The 17,404-nt window shown below is 50.9% G+C and overlaps 2 long non-coding RNA genes across 2 annotated transcripts; one reads left to right on the top strand and one right to left on the bottom strand.

The window, feature by feature from the left end:
• Positions 1-33: 33 nt before the first annotated feature.
• LOC105369530 (uncharacterized) lies at positions 34-5,112 on the bottom strand. Its single transcript, XR_948101.2, has 3 exons — positions 2,459-5,112; positions 2,309-2,376; positions 34-2,189 (listed from the first exon to the last, which is right to left on the bottom strand). It is a non-coding gene; the product is annotated as an uncharacterized LOC105369530 (long non-coding RNA).
• A 594-nt stretch (positions 5,113-5,706) lies between these two features.
• LOC124902773 (uncharacterized) lies at positions 5,707-15,994 on the top strand. Its single transcript, XR_007062923.1, has 2 exons — positions 5,707-6,055; positions 13,386-15,994. It is a non-coding gene; the product is annotated as an uncharacterized LOC124902773 (long non-coding RNA).
• Positions 15,995-17,404: the final 1,410 nt, after the last annotated feature.

Here is a 17,404-nt window from a genome sequence, read left to right as displayed (position 1 = left end):
CAATCACTGGAGCCAGCTCCTCCCCTCCTCCCGCTTCAAAGACAAGCCTCCCAGAGGGCTGAGATGTCTGGTTCATGGTCACCTACAGGTGAGAAGTGGGGCTGGGATTCAGGCCCTGGGCAGTTATCAAGAAACAAGAGCCTCCTAATTAATTCTGAGTACAGGGCCTTTCTAGTCCCTCCTGCTACCGTGTTCTGTGCCACAGTGAGGAGGGCATGGCCTCATCATCTCCCTGTGTGCAGCGCAAACTCCTTTCATCTCCCTTTCAGCTCATTTGATCCCCACAGTGCTCTTCTGAAGTAGGCAGAGTGATGATTTCTCCATTTTGCAGATGAGGAAATTGTGGTGCAGAAAGCGTAACGGAGCTGCCTAAGGTAGCAGAGCTGTCCTGCGGTAGAGTTAGGGCTGCAGTCCTGCATCCAGAGCCCTGTGCCTGCACCCACCACATGCTCTTTCCAGGTCAGATCTCTCTGCTGCTCTGCCCCTTCCCACTAGGAGCCTGAGCATCTGATTCGACTTGGCTCCAACAGAGATACCAGATGTCCTGTAGTCAAGACCAGAGCCCAGGATCCCTCCTTCCCAGCTATGGCCAGGACTCTGCAGACAGTGGACCTCTCCGTGAAGGCCCAGAGCTTTCAGCCCTAGGCCCAGGGGCTGAAGGGCTGGCGAGTCTTCGTTGTTGAGATTAAAGCCCTTCTCCAACTGGAGAACATTTAAAATGAAACCTCCCCGTTGCATTTGTCCTGCTCAGTTTTGGAAAGTGGGCAGGTAGCTCACGAGAGGGTTCTCGTTCAGCCCCTGCCTGGCCTTACCACCCTCTTCTTTGGCCCTAAAATCAAGTGAGCTATTCTTTAGCAAGGGTGAGACACTAGGCACTGGCTTGGTCCACTTCGAAAGGGTAGAAGGGGGCTCCTAGGAAGGTATGAGCGATCTAGCCACTTCCCTCTCCATTCTGCATGCCGTACTGTCCTCCGTGTGTGCTTTAGAGAAAGGTAATGGTATGGCTGTTCCATGCAAATGTGTTTTCTCAAAGACATGACTTTTGTACCATAAGCTGTTTCCATCTAGGACCTATTTCTGTGGGATGGTCTGAGGGTGAAGCTAAGGAGAGAAGGCATATGTGAATTTATTTTGTTTATCTGAACATCTGTGTTTGGCCGGCCCCACCCCTACAATGTAAGCTAAAATGCTGTATAATAGGTTTATGTATGTACCTATACTGCCAAAGGTCATGGTTGAATCCTGTGACTAGGTAGAGTTTACCTGTCAATTGGCTAAATCAGAGACCCATATGTTTCATAGTCAAGGAGATTCTGCAGCATAAATGGCTGGCCCAGGGACCACTGGCCTGTATGCATCACTGCCCTGCTCATAAACCTCATGGCTCCCCACTGGCAAATGTTGAGTCCACCTTCCTCAACCTGTATTCAAGGCCTGCCATCATCTTCTTCCTGCCAGACTGGCCTTCAGGTCCTGTGCCTTGGCAGGTGAGCTTTTCCCCTGCCTCCCTTCTCTCTCTCTCTCTCTCTCTCTTCCTCCTTCCCTCCCTGTCTCCCTTTCTTCCTCCCTTTAAAGAGCACCAGACACTGTTTTAAGTGCTGGGGACACAGTCACTAAGTGTGGTGGACAAGACACAGGAGGCTTTAGCTTACGTTGTAGAGGTGGAGACAAAAGAAAACAGATATTCAAATAAACAAGATAAATTCAGATAAGTGCTATGAATACAATAAAACAAGATGATGTGCTACAGCAGGGGTTCCCCCACCGCCCATGCTCCTCAACGTTAGATTCTCAAAGGATGTGAACCCTATTGCGAATTGCACACTCCTTATGAGAATCTAATTCCTGATGATCTGAGGTGGTACAGTTTCATCTTCAAACCATCCACTTCCTGCCCTCCCATCCGTGGAGACATTGTCTTTCATGAAACTGGTTCCTGGTGCTAGAGAGCTTTGTGGGTAGGAGTGAGGCTGAATTCTCCCTACCCCCATGGCCTTCACAGGTAAATGCTGCCCATTGGTCAAAGCCTGCCCACATGTCACCTCTTCCAGGAAGCCTGCCTGCCTTCTCAGCTTGGCAGTGTTCTCTCCCACCACTGGACTCCAGAGCACTTTATTCCGCTCCCTTGCAGGGTGTGGAGTGGCTTGCAGCACAGTCCATGGTCATCCTTGCTGCTGGGCTGTAAGTTCCTTAAGGGTGGAGAAAGCACCTCTTTCAGCCCCTGCCTCCCACTTCCCCGGCACTTCCCTGGCACAGAGTAGCTGGTTAATAAGAGTTTGCTGAGAAAATGTGCAAGGATATCTCCTACCTCAGAGGGCAAAGAGCAGCCGGGGCCCATCCCCAGGGTCACCTGCTGAGAAGAGGCCACTTTTCTCCCTGGAGAGGGACAGAGGAAGGGGTATAGTTGAATGGGAGAATTTATGCCCAGGGCAGGAGGTGGTGGGTGGGTTCAACTCACCAAGGTAATCCTGTTGGACAGGAACACCTCACACTCTTCTAAACCTTTACAGACTTTGCTCTGATGAGAGGCCTAAGAAGAGTGTCATGCCCCTTCCTTGGCTTGGGGAAGTCTGGACCTGTGTGTAGGGGCGTGGGGTGAGGTGGGGTCGGTGTGCATTGTGCCAGGGTGTATGGCTCAGAGCATGTGTGCAGTGAGGTGTTTGTGAGGTGTCTGTGACTGTGGTCCTAGAACTGTGGGCATAGGATGTGTGAGAGAACAAGTGAGTGCGTATGTGAATGTGGTGGTGAGGTGCGTGCAGGGTGGCTGGTTTGTGTAGTGTCTTTGTGTGTTTGGATGTTGAGTGGTGGGCTGGTGGTGGTGGGGGTGTGTGTGTATCTGTGGTACAGCCCGTGGGGTTGGGGGACAGGGAAGGGTGGAGCAGCAGTGGCCTGGGCTCTGGGGGGCCAGCATCTGTGGTATTAGGGCTCAGAAAATGATACCCACAAAGATGGCACTTTGACATGCTGAATTGAAGAAGCAGCCTCCAGGTCTCTCTGACCTACCTCCCACAAAAGCCCCTGTCTCTCCCAAAGCACAGGATGAGGCTGTCTTCTGAAGCTCCCATATCGAACTGGAAACTGGACTCCCAAGCAGGAGCAGAATTGCCTTCGATCCCTCTCCTGAAATTTCATTAATCAGAGGAGATGAAAACTCCTACCACAGAGGAAGAGACTGATCACGAAACACCACATCTAGAGCCCAAACTGTGTCTCAAACTATTGTTTGTTCTCTGGTCCCATTCAGTTTCCAAAAAGAATCATTCACAAGATAATGCCTGCCTCCTGGCTCCATTCATCCCCCACCATAAAAGTATTTATGCCTGTAACACCTTGTCTCTTTCCACTATAAAGAAGGGTTTACAAGCACCTGGACCTCTCTGGGTTATCGGGTAATCATTCTCCCGCCATACCCCTGTGCTATGCATGTTAAATAACATCCGTTTACCTCTTTTTTCTATTGATCTGCTTTTTGTCAGCTCACTTTCTGCAAACCTTCAGAGGGTGAAGGGGGAAGCTTTCCTTCTTTGCCCCTACACTGGCAACTGGGACTTCACTTTCCAGCTGCTAGCTGGGGCCTTAGAGAGGACCCCACAACTGGAAGCCATCACAGCTCTTCCCCCACCCTGCTGGCCTGTGGGGGATGCTGTTGCCTCTTCAGCTCCCCTCTGACTGTGGTCCCTCTGTTTCGAAGCCCTAGCCTCAAGCCTCATCCCCACTCTCTTTCCTACTACCAAGAGCAGACACCAAAATATTTCTGCGTTTCCTCTGGAAAAATCCTGGGAGGTCTGTTTATGGCTGTAGCAAAGCGGCACACATCTGTGCACAGTTGAGCTGGGACAGCTGGAAACTCAGGCACTGGAGTTTGCTGGAATTCGGAGCACGTTGGTGTACACAGTGCCTGCCCCCCACCTACCCACCCAACGTGCCTCCCCATCTCTGCACGAGTGTCCCACCAGAGTCAGTTCTTGCTTCTATGAATAACCCTTCCCTGGCCCCTGCACAAACACACCCACATACGCAGACACACTCCTGCACACAGCCGATTTCAGTAGGACACACAGAGACAGAGAAAGGGACACGTGGCACACAGATATGCCAGCACATTCTGAGAACAAACTCAAGCATGGTTCCTCAGGTCTAGAGGCCCACAGACACACACAGGCACCCTCCCGCTTCACCAGGGCACACCCTTGACCTGTCACCCACCAGTAACACCTACATACACCAGCAGACACGCAGGACAACGCATGCTGACTCGGCACACCCACATATAAACATGCAACCCACACAGAAGGTGTGATTCACCTCCAGCCACGTACAGAAACCCACTCCCAGCCAGTCGGGGCCCGCCACCTAACCTCAGGCGAGGACTACCCTCCCCTGGGAGACCTGGGGACTCCTGAGCCTGGGAATGTCCCTGTTCTTTCCCATTGCCTGCCCTGTCCCTGACCCTGGCTCCCCTCTCAACTCTACCATGTGCTGTCTCTGTCAGGCAGGCCAGGGAACCTGAGTTCCCCCAGTCCTGACCTGCCTCTTCCTTCCCTTCTGTTCCTGTACCCCACATCTTTCCAGAGGCCTAGAAAGCTCTAGGGCTAATTATCTCATGGCCCTCCCTGCTGCCAGGAACTCCTCTGCCCAGTGGCTGACACCCCTTCTGCCTCCCTCAATCCTTCAGGGCTGCTCTTGGATCTGAAGTCTCTTCTTCCTCAGCCCCAGGCCCCCCAGATTCCCACAAGGCTCCCTGATGGGGAAAGAAATGTACTCTTCAGGACAGATTGGGGAGGAGCAGGCAGATGAAGGGAGACAGGAAGAAGGGGAGAGAGAAAGTGGAAAGAAACAAAATGAACAGATATTTCCTAAGGCCTAGGAAGGAAGGAGGGGCAGATTGAGTGCAGCTGTAGGATGCCCAGGGTAGCAGGTGTCTGTGGGGAGCAGGGACAGAGCTGGGCCACCTCAGACCCCCTTGCTTTGCTGGGCACCCATTTTAAGGGCTTACTTGGCCCACATGAGGACAAGGCCTCTCTAGCAATTTATCCCAAACTCCTGATCTTCTCAGGCCAGACCGGGATTCTCCAGGGCTCTTGGAGTGGGGAGTTCTAGGCCTCCTCTTTAGCCCCCTCCATCCATAATTTCCAACCTCACAAGCCTTCCCAATCCCCCTTGGGGCTCTTCCTCTGGATAGGAGCCCAGTCTGCATGCAGCCCCTGCCTCCTCTCAGCCCTTCCCACCCCCCACTTCTTTCCAAGCTGGAACATCACAGCTATTCTCAGCTTTCTGTCCATATTCTGTGGACAATCATGGAATTTTTTAACCCAATCTTGGGTTAGGAACACCCTCCAAACTCTACTGGAAGCCTCAAAGCACTTTCCTTCATATTTATGAGATCTGAGGCAGGTTTCTTTAAGTCTTTGCAACTTGGTTTCCTCAATGTAACATGGAAACACCCAGCTACTAGCACGGCTGTGAGCTTGGTCTCTGCAGAGCACCCAGCCCAGGGCGTGATGTTTAGCAGGGGGCCCTTGATAAATTTAAATTCCCTTCTCCTTCCCCCACTTTTCCCTTTTACTTTGCTACACACTATTTAAGCCAGGAGAGATCAAACTGACCCCATTGCCCTGGGACAAAGGAATGATGGCCTCAATTCAAGAGCAAAGTACAGGAGTTTTTGATTAACTCATAAACACTCCCGACTTCCAGCAGCCCAGCTGCTGTGGTGTGGGGTGGGGAAGGGAGGGGAGGGGAGGTTGTTGAGGGGACATGCAGGAAAGAGATTAGGAAATTCAGAACAGGAGGACACAAGGGCAGGGGAATGCTGAGGCCAAGGCCTTCTCCCACCACCTGCCTCCTGCGGGAGTGATTCCACAGTGCAGAGGGAGAGCCATTTGGAGGTCCGGCACCCGCTCTGCCCATGCCTATGCTTCAGGCTCTGTGAGAAGGCTGGACTCCTTCTGGAACTTCAGGACCTTGGATGCTCCCCTCCTCTGCTCCTGCCTCCCTTCCCCCAGCCCTGGGGTGTGTCAGATGTGTGTTTTCTCCTGGACTCAGCTGAAGCAAGGTCAGCCCAGCTTTCAAGGGGAGGAGCTTCCACACTCTAGGTCAGTGCTCCCGCGGACCAGGGACTTGACCAGAGAGCAGAGAGCATAGGGTGGGGTGTGGGGTGGGAGGACAGAGCACAGGGAGCCCTGGGCTCCCTCCAGAATCTCAGAGGTGCTCACATCCAGAGGGTCTCCCAGGAATCACGGAGCCCCCCCTCTGCCTCCATGCCAAAGGGATCCCAACTCATCCCAGGAAGAAGCCCAAATCTTTGTGCCATGGGGACCAAACATTCCACATGGTGGCTGTCCTCATGGTTTGCATGGTCATTCTGATTTCTAACCCGAATCTTTCCCGCATCGCTAATGGATCCTGTAGGTTCCAAGGAGTTAGTCATGATATCAAGTAAGCAGTTTGTTTCCCCTGAGGATGAGCCAAATTTTGGGAAGATTCTCAGCTGCCTGTCTCCACCCTCCTTCATCCAACTTACCACCCCGACCCTGTCCTCCTCCCCACCCGGACACGTGGGAAAATGCCCTGTTAGCCCTTCCAGTCATGTGAATGAGGCCACGATTCAAAGGCAGTGGGCAAGAAGGAGGCCACAGGGAGCAGCCAGAAAGAACCAGCCCTTTGTGCTAGACAGGGGTCCTTGGGGGATGAGTGCATTTTTGGCGTATTTAGAAATATTTATTTTTTATAATGAGCAGCAGAGGAGGAAAGGGGAGGGAGGGAGAGGCAGAGAGGCCAAGGCAGGACTTGGGAAAAGAGGCTGGAGCAGTGGTGAGGGCTGGGAAGGGAGGTTACAAGAGCGAAAGGAGAAACAGACAGGAGCCAAAGGGTAAGAAGTGGGGACAGAGAGGGAGAAGCAGGACGGTTCTGAAGACAGATGGAGATAGTGACGACACAGGTGCCTGCCACCATGCCCAGCTAATTTTTGTATTTTTAATAGAGACAGGGTTTCACCATGTTGGCCAGGCTGGTCTCAAAATCCTGACCTCAGGTGATCCTTCTGCCTCAGCCTCCCAAAGTGCTGAGATTATAGGCATGAGCCACCATGCCCGGCTGTCATTCTGATTTCTAACCTAAATCTTTTCGGCATATCTCATAGCCAGAGTTCTGGCTGGCGGCCTAGGAAACACCTCTCCTCCTCAGTCATTTGTAGAGTAGATATCAGTGATAGCTCTCCGGAGCCCCCATCCTCTCCCGGCCTGTTTTCCACTTGGCATGCTGTGTGGTGAGCCCTCCATTCACAGGCTTGTTTCCCCCAGGCACTGCCTTTACTGGCCTCAGAAAGCCTGACACCTGGCCCTGGCTGGAATACTCAGGTCCGTGTATTTACAAACATGGTTAGAGCATCAGCTCCGTGCCTGGAGTGTGCAAGGACCTGGGGAACCAGATATAGTCCCTCTCTCATGGAGCTGACCTAGCTGGGGAAATGGATGAGCGAATCAATGATTATACTGCATGATGATGGGGATGATGGCAGGGGCCATGGAACACAGTGGGGCTCTAGAGTGAAGGGTCTGGGGAGGTGGGGCGCGGGGTGGCAAATCCAGGAGGGCCTCTTGGAGGACATGGGGACATACTGAGTCCTGAAGAAAGGGAGATCTCATCTCTATCAAATTCTAGTGGGTTCAGGCTTGCTAGTCTCCTTTCCCCAGTCTTGCCACCCATTTTTGGGAAAAATAACAATAATTCATCAATCATTAATTCATCAGAAAAATACTTATTGCCTATGTAACATGCCAGGCATTGTGCTAGTGTCTAGAAATTCAACGATGATGAAGACCTAGTCACTGCCTCCCTGAAGCTCCCAGCCAAGTGAGAGAGCTGACAAGCAGGCAAGCAGTGAGCCCCTGGAGACCATGTGGAGTCTGTGCCAGGGCTCTCGGAGTGCACAGAACCCCTGTGAGCAACCAGCCTTCTCACTTGACACTCCTTCCCTGAACCCAAGGAAGAGGAGCCATCCTTGCCATTTGACAGAGGCTGCTGGCTTGCCCAAGGTTCTAGGGCAAGTACCTAGGGGACCCGCCACCTCTCCTCAGTTCTCAGACTCGAAGCCCCTGCTCTTGTGTCCTCCTAGCCTGGTCTTGCAGGAGAAAGAGGCTGAATGAAGGTGGGCTTGTCGCCTGGGTGCTGACTGCTCATGAGCAGGCTCCTGGGTGACCCTGCAGAAAGTTGGAACAGTGTCCTTCCTCTCAGGCTGCAGGTCAAAGATCTGGTTCCTTTGCTTCTCTGGCTTCTCCCAGTAGGTGGGGCTGTGGGAAAGGCTGGGAAGGTCAAGGGCCTCTGGAGTACTCTAGGCCCCTGGGCTTAGCCTGGCAGAATGGTTCTCCTCTACTTCCTACCTTCTCCCTCCTCCTGCCACATCCTCCCCAGCCTCCTTACCTTCCTCCTCCTCCTCCTCCTCATCTTTCCTGTGTCGTCCTCTTCTCCTTCCTCATTACTTCTCTTTCTCCAGTTTTCCTCCTCTTCCTCCTCTCCCCTTCCCTTCCTTTCCATTTTCTCCCCCACCTCCCCTCTTCCCTCCTCCTCTTTCTCCTTTTCTCCTTCGAACTAATTGCTTAAGGGGTGAAGACCAGGTCGACTTGTGAAAACCCTGATCCATCGCCATGGTGATGCTCATTCAAACTGAGTTCAAAGGAAATTGTTCCAGTTAAAACTAACAAGCTGGAGCCGAGGGCCCCAGGAAGGACCAGTGCCAGGAGGAGCAAGCCCTGCACCCAGAAAACTAGCAAAAACAAGCCCACGGGTCGCTTATACTCCACCCCTCTGTGTCTTCTCTGCAACCTTCAGATGGGCCCAACTAAAAGGGAACCTGAGAGGTCCTTGCAGGGAGCCCCCTGCCTCCGGGCCAGACTCCACCCAAGCCACTTCAAACAACAGAAAGGCCTGCACCTCCTCTGTGGTAAAGCCCTCCACTACCATCACTGCACAGTCTCCCTTACGCTAGGGTGCTGGTTTTTAACCACCCATGCTTTTGGAGACTTCTTCACGGTTTACACAAACACTTCCCATTGCTTTCGAATACACGTGGATTTGAAAGTACCAAGAGGAAAGGAACAAGAATGGCTGAGGCACCTGCCCCCTACCTAGGTGCTGTCCTAAGACTTCATACATGTTCACGCAACCCACTAATGCCATTATTATCTCCACTTGGCGAGTTTCCAAGGATGAGAAAGCGCCCAGTGGAAGAAACTGCTTAGAGCTTGATTTGAGCTCCACTAGGTCAGGCTGGTTTAGTTTGACCTCCACTAGGTCAGGAATGACAGGGTAGGCCTTGAATTGGGGGGAGATGGCTCAAAACAGGAAAGAGGAAGGGTCTTGGTTCCAAAGTTCAAGTGAGTTGTCTTCTGTGCTTTGAGTTAACCCGATCGCACTTGCTTCCCTGGCCCTCACAGCATCCTGCCTGTACCGACTCCCAGTTCAGCACAGGCGACTTTCAGCCCAGTGGCTGCAGATGGTTCCTCTCTATTGTGTGGGCAAGGACCAGGACTTCTTTGTCCATAGCCCAGGACCTGGCTCAGAGTGGGCTCTGGCTGTTAATTACATGTCCGAATGCTGAATGCTGAATGGAAACACTAGTCCCTTGGGAGCTGGAAGATTTGAGGTCCCCCAGGTCAAGAGAACCCGAGGAGCCCGGCTTGGTGAGCTTAGTATAATGGATGCACCTGAGGGCAGCAGGAGGAGAATGTCCTGGAGGGCCTTGTCGTGCTGATGTGGTGGCAGGGGCCAGCCCGGGGACCCTCTTCCTTAGGAGCTCTCACCTCTGCCTCATTCCCTCTCAGCATCCCTTTCTTGGTTGTTGTTTTAAATCCTGAAATATCTAGTGATCCTTCCAGGTACTAATAAGACATTAGTCTAGCAGCAAAAGAAATTCCTTGAAGGCGAAGACCGTGTCTGTAGTTCTATGGTGCCCCCGCAATGCAAAGTGCAGTGCTATGGAGCTCATGGGGGAGCTTCACAGGTACATGAGTGAGTGATCTGGGGTCTGGGTGCCCATGGGAGGGGCTCTGGGAGCCTACAGGTTTCAGATCTGCTCTTTCCTCAGATGTACTGTGAGACCTTGGGAAATCTCCTTGCCTCTTTGTTCCTGGGTTACTTCACGCGTAACCAAGGATGCTCTTGGATGAGCCATCCTGCTCCCCCAGACACATCAAGAGCAGAGTCATGCAGCTATGATGCATGATCGCAGCTCCTCCAGCATCAAGGACCTCAGCACCTCCCTCCCCTCCAGGGATAGGGACCTCTGGTGGTGACTGAGGTTCCTGCCTGACTCTCTGGGACCATCCGCTGCCCCTCCGTCCCCTCATTTCCACCCCCCATCACCTGCCCCTCCAAAGTTCGATGTGTCTGGATGACTGAGGTGAAATCCAGCCAGAAGGGAGGAAGTGACTCAGCCCTTGTTGGGGTGGGGGCACTGGAGAAGGCCCAGGGCCAGCCTCCCACTCCCAGGACAGCTTGCGCTGCTTTGTACTCAACCCCAGCCTTTCATCCCGGCAGCTTAAAGCCCCTTTCAAGCTGGAAGCAGTCCTGGGAGCTGGGTCATTGTCTCAATTAACAGGAGAAAGCTGGGGCCCAGGCTGGGTGGAGGCAACTTTCCCCTGAATTAGGCCGTGAGTCAGATGCCCAGGAAACCCAGGACTTCCTCGCAAGCCAATTCCCCCAGGCTCCTGCCCCAAGCTCTGGGCTGCAGGGGCCCGTTGCAGAGGAAGTGAGAGCTGTGTCCTTCCCTGTCACTCCCTGTAGAGGAGATCAGGGTCCTGCACAGGACCCCGAGGGTGTATTAGCTGGGCTGGAATTTCCCAGGGGGCCATTCAGTGGGTCCCCCTGACATTGTTGTTACTTGTGGGGATCCTGAAGAGGCTGTGCATTCCCAAGTGGAGAGAGGGGAACAAGGTGAGTGAACAGATTCTAGTAATAGACCCAGCCAGCCTTGGGGACCCTGAGCTGTTACAGCCAGCACACCCCACTGACTTTCTCTCCCTGTCACTGTTAAAATATTCATCTGGGCTGGGTGTGGTGTTCCGCACGCCTGTAATCCGAGCACTTTGGAAGGCTGAGGCGGGTGTTCGAGACCAGCCTGACCAACATGGGGAAACCCTGTCTCTACTAAAAATTCAAAATTAGCTGGGCATGGTGGCACATGCCTGTAATCCCAGCTACTCTGGAGGCTGAGGCAGGAGAATTGCTTGAACCCGGGAGGCAGAGGTTGCAGTGAGTCGAGATTGTGCCATTGCACTCCAGCCTAGGCAACAAGAGCGAAACTCCATCTCAAAAAAAAAAAAATCTGTAAATCATCTGTAGCCAATCATTTAATAACTGCTGAGGCTCTTGTGTACCTGGCCTGAAGCAAACAGATCACAGTTCTAAATCCTGGCTCGGTTGCTGCCTGGCTGTGCAATCTTGGGTAATTGCTTTAACTTCTCGGAACTTCAAGTGCCTTGAAGCTCCTTGGCTCAGCGTCTAGAATATAGGAGATTCCATCCCCACTAATATTGCATAGAAGATGAGAATTACAGAGTACAGGGGCTGGCGGGAATCTTCTTCGCTTCTCTTAAGGAACAATGCACAGGGAGGTCATGGAATGCTTCAGGTCACACAGCCAGGAGTAGGATGCAGGTTGCCACGGAGGAGCTTTCAAAGGGTGTCTGTTCCTGCCCTTCTAGGCTTGGATGAGGCAGCTCCCCGCTTGCTGAGTCAGGGAGGAGAAAGGCTGGAATAAGAAGGAGTGTGAGGGTGGGGTGTTGTGGGGAAGTCGGGGGCAGAAGAAAATCCAAGATATTGCGCAAAGAAGAGTGGGAGTAGGGGAGGGTCTGATTTAATGAGGCAGCAAGGAGGAGAGGGGCTGGCTCCCCCAACAGAGACTGCCGGCCCCTGTGGTGATACTCCATGTGCTGGGGATCAAAGCTGCCCTGGGAACACGGCAACAGTGCTGGGCCACTAACGCTGGAGCTTCCCAGGGGCCTGCTTGATGTAGCTGCCTCTGTTTCCTTCCCAGCTCATCACCCACGCTTATTTCTGAAGGGGCCTGTTCCAGCCCAATCGCCTTCTCCACGCCTCCAGCTTGGGTTGCTGACTCAGTCCACTGAATTGATGTCCAGGGGCACCTGTGGCTGCAGACTGTCCATCTCATCAATGCCCAGCTTCCCTCTCTGGCCCTTGGTGGCTACCACCATCTCCACCTCCTTTTGTTCTCTTGCAGAGCTCTAGGCTAGCTCAGCTTATTTGCTCAACAACCTCAGACTCTCAGTTTTGCCCTTGGCCTTGGCATTGGTCAGTAAAGTGAGTGCAGTGGGCCTGGCCCTTTCCCCTCCCTGGACCTTTTCAAATCTCAGTTCTGGGTTGACATATCCAGGCCCTCCATTAGCCTCCGTAAGTGTGAGGCCCCTCTCTCTCAGCTGCTGTTTCTGCAGTGCGCCGTTGAGAGGCCCAGCTCAGGCCAGAAGGCCCAGGCCTGTCTCAGGTTTACCCATCCACGGGGCTTTGGTTCTGGCACAGAAACAAGCTAAGGGTGAAGAGATCAGCATGGCTGAATAGAGGCAACTGAGAGTCCTCTGGGCAAATCTGGAGGATGCATTAGGGTGGTGATGGGTGGAAAGGATTCTTAAGAGGGAGGGAAACTGGGCCTGGTATCAAAATCGTAAGGAGAAAAGAATGTGACCTTTCTTCTGGGGTTTGTGAATGCTGGAGAATGGTTTCCTCAATGTGACTTCTAAGATGGTTATCTGAGGGTCTCAAACTCTTTCCCCTTAGGGCTTTTGTGCCTCCCACTGGGCACGTCCCCCAGTCCTGTCTCCTCCAGTCTCTAGCTCAACATTTCACTTGAGCTTTTTGAGGTCTTTGGATGGGTATTAATTCCCTCGCTTCTCAGATGAAGAAAAAAGGAGACCTAGAGAGATCTGGTGATTTACTTAGAGACTCACAGCAGTAATGTTAGAGCCAGGAAACTAACCAGGTCCACCTGGCTCCAGAGCCTATGCTGGTTCCATTACACCCTCATACAGACGTGTGTGTGGGGGGTGTGTGTGTGTGCATGCATGTGTGCACATGTGTGTGCATGCAGTTTCTGTATCGAGTATGTGATTTCCCAGAAATCTTTAGAGAATTGTTTGATGGTCTCTCTTCCTTCCTTCCTTCCCTCCCTCCCTCCCTCTTCCTTCCTTCCTTCCTTCCCTACCTCCCTCCCTCTCCTTCCTTCCTTCCTTCCCTCCCTCTCCTTCCTTCCATCCTTCCTTCCTTCTTCCCTCTCCTTCCTTCCTTCCTTGCTTCCTTCCCTCCCTCCCGCTCCTTCCTTCCTTCCTTTCTTCCTTCCTTCCTCTTCCCCTTCCTCCTCTTCTCTCTCTCCCTAGATTATACAATGAGCTGTCTTTGTTCATGATGTGGTTTCTTTCCAAGCTTTAGAGGATCAGAAGTGCTGGCCTTTGTCTCTCTGCAGCTTCAGAACTCCAGCTTCTAGCCCTGTCTGGCGAAGAGGAAAGTGGTTTTATAACTCTCAGCTGGTGTAGTAGCAGTCTCAGTACCAATATGACTTCTAGGTGAAATATATACATGTCTTAAAGGGGTAAAGTGGAGAAGCCAGAAGGGTCAGGGCACCTGTGTTCTAGGCTTTACTCAGCCTTTTATCAATTATATGACCTTGGACAAGTCTCCAAATTTTAGCTTCCTTACTGTGTGATGGAGACAACGATGCTATCAGCCTCCTAAAGTTGGATTAGAAGACACAATGTGCATGAACACATTGGGTAAACTACAAAGGATCAAGTCATGCATAAATGTCAACTGGGGGAATAAAACTATTGGACGCATCCCCCACTAGCGTTTCAATGGGACATCATGAGAATAGCATATGCTCCTCACCCCTGTCAGAGACAGGACCTAGTTGGATGGATCATTCTCTGTGATAATTCTTATGGCAGAATGAACTCACAGGCGGCCTCCCTACCTTTCATCCTGGTGATGTTAGGAATTAGTCTGACTACCATTAGTCATTCCAGATGCTGAGAACAGTGAACAACCGACATGGTGACACTTCTACTATAAGCCAAGCTCAGGAACGGGTGATGCTCCTTAGATGAATTAATGCTGGGGCTATTGTTTTATAAGGGGCAGGGTCAAAGACAAGCTCAGAAAGATAGCCCTTCTTCATAAGAGACCAGATAATTGGTGCTGAGAAAAAAGCTAGTGCTCATCATGGATGGAGACAGGCTTGCTTCTAGGCTACTGAGGACATCGACCACAGCTCTCCCATGGGAGACTAAAAGGCTTCCATCACACTGATGCCAGCTAGGCCATCAATAAGGGGGCTTTCTGTGGGAAGGGATGGGGCAGGGACACTGGTCCAGGCAACCAGAAAGAAGGGACTTTAGGAAAAGGGTAGGAAGTCAAAGAGAGAGACCAAGAGGTCTGGAGAAGAATGGGACAGAAGTCTATCTCAAGGTCAATGTCAGGTGGGCTCCTTTCTTTGTTGGTTCTTGGAAGTTAAAAAGTGAACTTTCCACCAGTGTATTGCTCTTAAGATCCACCTGCTCCTCAAGTGGAATGAACCAATAAGCCTTGTATATCTCCATTTCACTTCTCTATATTTGACCTGGGACACATTCTCCAGGACGAAGGTGTTCAGAAAAGCACAGAACTCTTTCCCCAGTTTCTTTCAGGGGATTTCTCTGAGTAGAATGGAGGAGCCCTGGACTCTGATGGGTGACCGTGTTGAGTCATCATGGTTACTGGCATCAGAAGAGGGCTCCAGGGGCCAGCGGTGGAGATGACCACCCTGCCCCAGTGTGAGAGACTGAGTTTCCTGAGGGCTGTTCACAAGTTAGCGAAAAATAACTTTTAAGAAACCTGAGTAATGACATCTTCTCAGGGTCTAGCCACAAATGTTTCTGATTGCACATTCTGGCTATAGATACTAATACTTGGGTTGGAAATAGACCCAATAGGTCATCTTGTCCATCCTCCTGCCTCAGGCAGGACTAATGATATATGTTTGTCTTATTCTTCCCCTAGAACTCCAGGGGTCAAAATACTGTATATTCCTCCACTCATCCATCCATCCATCCATCCGTCATTTATTGAAACATGAGTAGGACAGTGGACCTCTCCTTTAACAACTCATGGTATAGTCTTTTCAGAGTTTCCAATCCCTAACCAGCAAGAGTAATTTCTAATGTCTAAACTAAATGTCTAATCTAATCCAGTGTCTAATTTCTAACATCTAATCTAATGTCTTCATTTCGTAAATAAAGAGAAGGATAAAACAGGCTCATTCATTCATTCACGCATATGCAAATGCATGCATTCATTCCACAAATACTTCTGAGCATGTTGTCTGTTCCAAGTGAATTGGAAGGCACACCTTTGTTTTGGATATGCCACTTACCTTTCATGTTCACTAGGTACATCCTAAGACTGGGAACTCAATCAGCATTGAAAATGCGGTCAAGAAAAGCTCATATGTAACTACGTATTTGGACAAAATGTAGCTCCTACAACTCCTTCCATTTAAGGATCTCAAAATATCTAAGAGCATGATCATTGCCCAGAGGGAGTGATCGTGTGTTGAGGGTTTCATCCCAGCTGGCATTCGGGCGGCTCCAGAATTCCTAATTCTTTGCCACGAAACTGTTTCCAGAGGAGCAGGTAAGCAAGGCTGGGTTCTTTTGCCTCTGTCTGAACCTGCTCCCCAGCCCTTCCCTTGAGTTCTGTACCCTCTTCCCCCATCTTGGGTCCTTTCAGCTTCCACATCTTCTTGAAGCAAAAGGGGAGAAGGTGGGCTGAGAGTGGGACAGAAATACCCCCTTGAACTCTCAGCCTCTCCTGATTCATCAAAGTGGGGAAGTTGGTTGCTGGAATGAGTGGGGGCGGAGAAGAGAGGAAGAGAGGGCTCTGCAGGCTGGGAATGATCCAGAACCCTCATTAATGTCTGACACCTCCAATAAAAGCTGCAGATTCCCCAAAAGCGATTTTTGAAAATCCTCAACTCTTTGAAGCTTGGTGTTTAACTGCCACTCCTTCCGCGGGCTTAATAGGAAACCAAGCCCCTTGGCTTGTACAAAGGGCATCACCTGGGGTAACACCCCTTTTCCAAGCACTTGAGATCCTCGTATAGGAGCCCTTGAGTCTTCTTGCAGCTGGGCATGACAGGGAGGCCTCAGTCCTTGCAGAATGAAGGGCAGTTTCCCCCAAGGCTTGTGGCTATGATGAAAGCTGAGGCTTATTGGCTGGAGTGGGTCAGAGCTGTGCAAGGGAGCAGGGGCAAGACTTGGAAGGCAGAAGGTGGATTGAGTGCAGAAATGTGGTTACGTCCAAGCAGTTATTTTTCTAGACCAACTTCTTTTTTTTTTTTAACTACCTCTCTCCATTTAACTGAAAAAGTGGAACAAATACATATGCTAAAATAGGAATATAATGAAAAGTAAGTCCCTCTTTACCGGAAGCCACCTGTCTCTCAACCTGGAGGCAACTACTATGAACAGAATTTGTGTATCATTCAGAAATTTCTTATGCTTTACATGTACCTTCTTTTCTTGGGCATAAACAGGAACATAGTATCTCCACTGTTCCATATATGACTTGTTTTTAACAATATATCCTGCAGATCCTTACATAAATCGACTGCATTTGTATATGCTTATAAATCTACTTCATTCTTTGCCTGGTGTTATATAGTATGGGTACCACAATTTATTTGCTCCATCCCCTAATGATAGATATTTAGGTTGCTTTCAGTCTTTGTTATTACAAACAAAGCTGCAATGAACAGTCTTGTACAAAGACATCTGTGCTAATATAACTGAGGGGTAGATTTCTAGAAGAGAAATTGCTGCATTTGAGATATGTACCTCGAGTTTGCTAGACGTTGTTTAGGTTGTTTTCTGACTAGCTAAGATTGCATATGAAGTGGTGGAAGAATTGGTTGTCAACTCTCCATCCCTGCTCCCCACATTCTACTTCCTATCCTTTGCAAGAATGGGATACAATGATGGGGATAACTCCCCCAGTGGGGTGACTGAAAATCATTTTTGATGGGCTTTGGGAAGCACAAAGAGAGGTTTTTGTTTTCAGAATGACCCACCCTCCTAATGATGTGGGCTCAGGCTGAGCACTACCTGAGTCCCTGAGCAGAGCCAAAATGAAGAGGGCCTGTGAGGGCCAGAGGTGTCAGTTGGACTCCTCCACAGAGCAGAACCACTAGCCCATTCCTGGGAAACTCCACGGGCTCCCCAACTTCTGCTCACAAAATGCTGCAATCACTTGTGTTGTGGTTTTAACTTTTCAAAGCCTTTTGCAGCCGACGTTTCATTCCACTTCAGCTGGGAGGGAGGCCAAACAGCGATTGTTAGATGAAAAGACTGAGATCCAGAGAGGC

This window comes from Homo sapiens, chromosome 11 (assembly GCF_000001405.40).
Source record: "Homo sapiens chromosome 11, GRCh38.p14 Primary Assembly".
NCBI lineage: Eukaryota > Metazoa > Chordata > Mammalia > Primates > Hominidae > Homo > Homo sapiens.
The sequence above is the reverse complement of the archived record's forward strand: the minus strand, read 5'-3'. Positions and strand labels throughout refer to the sequence as shown.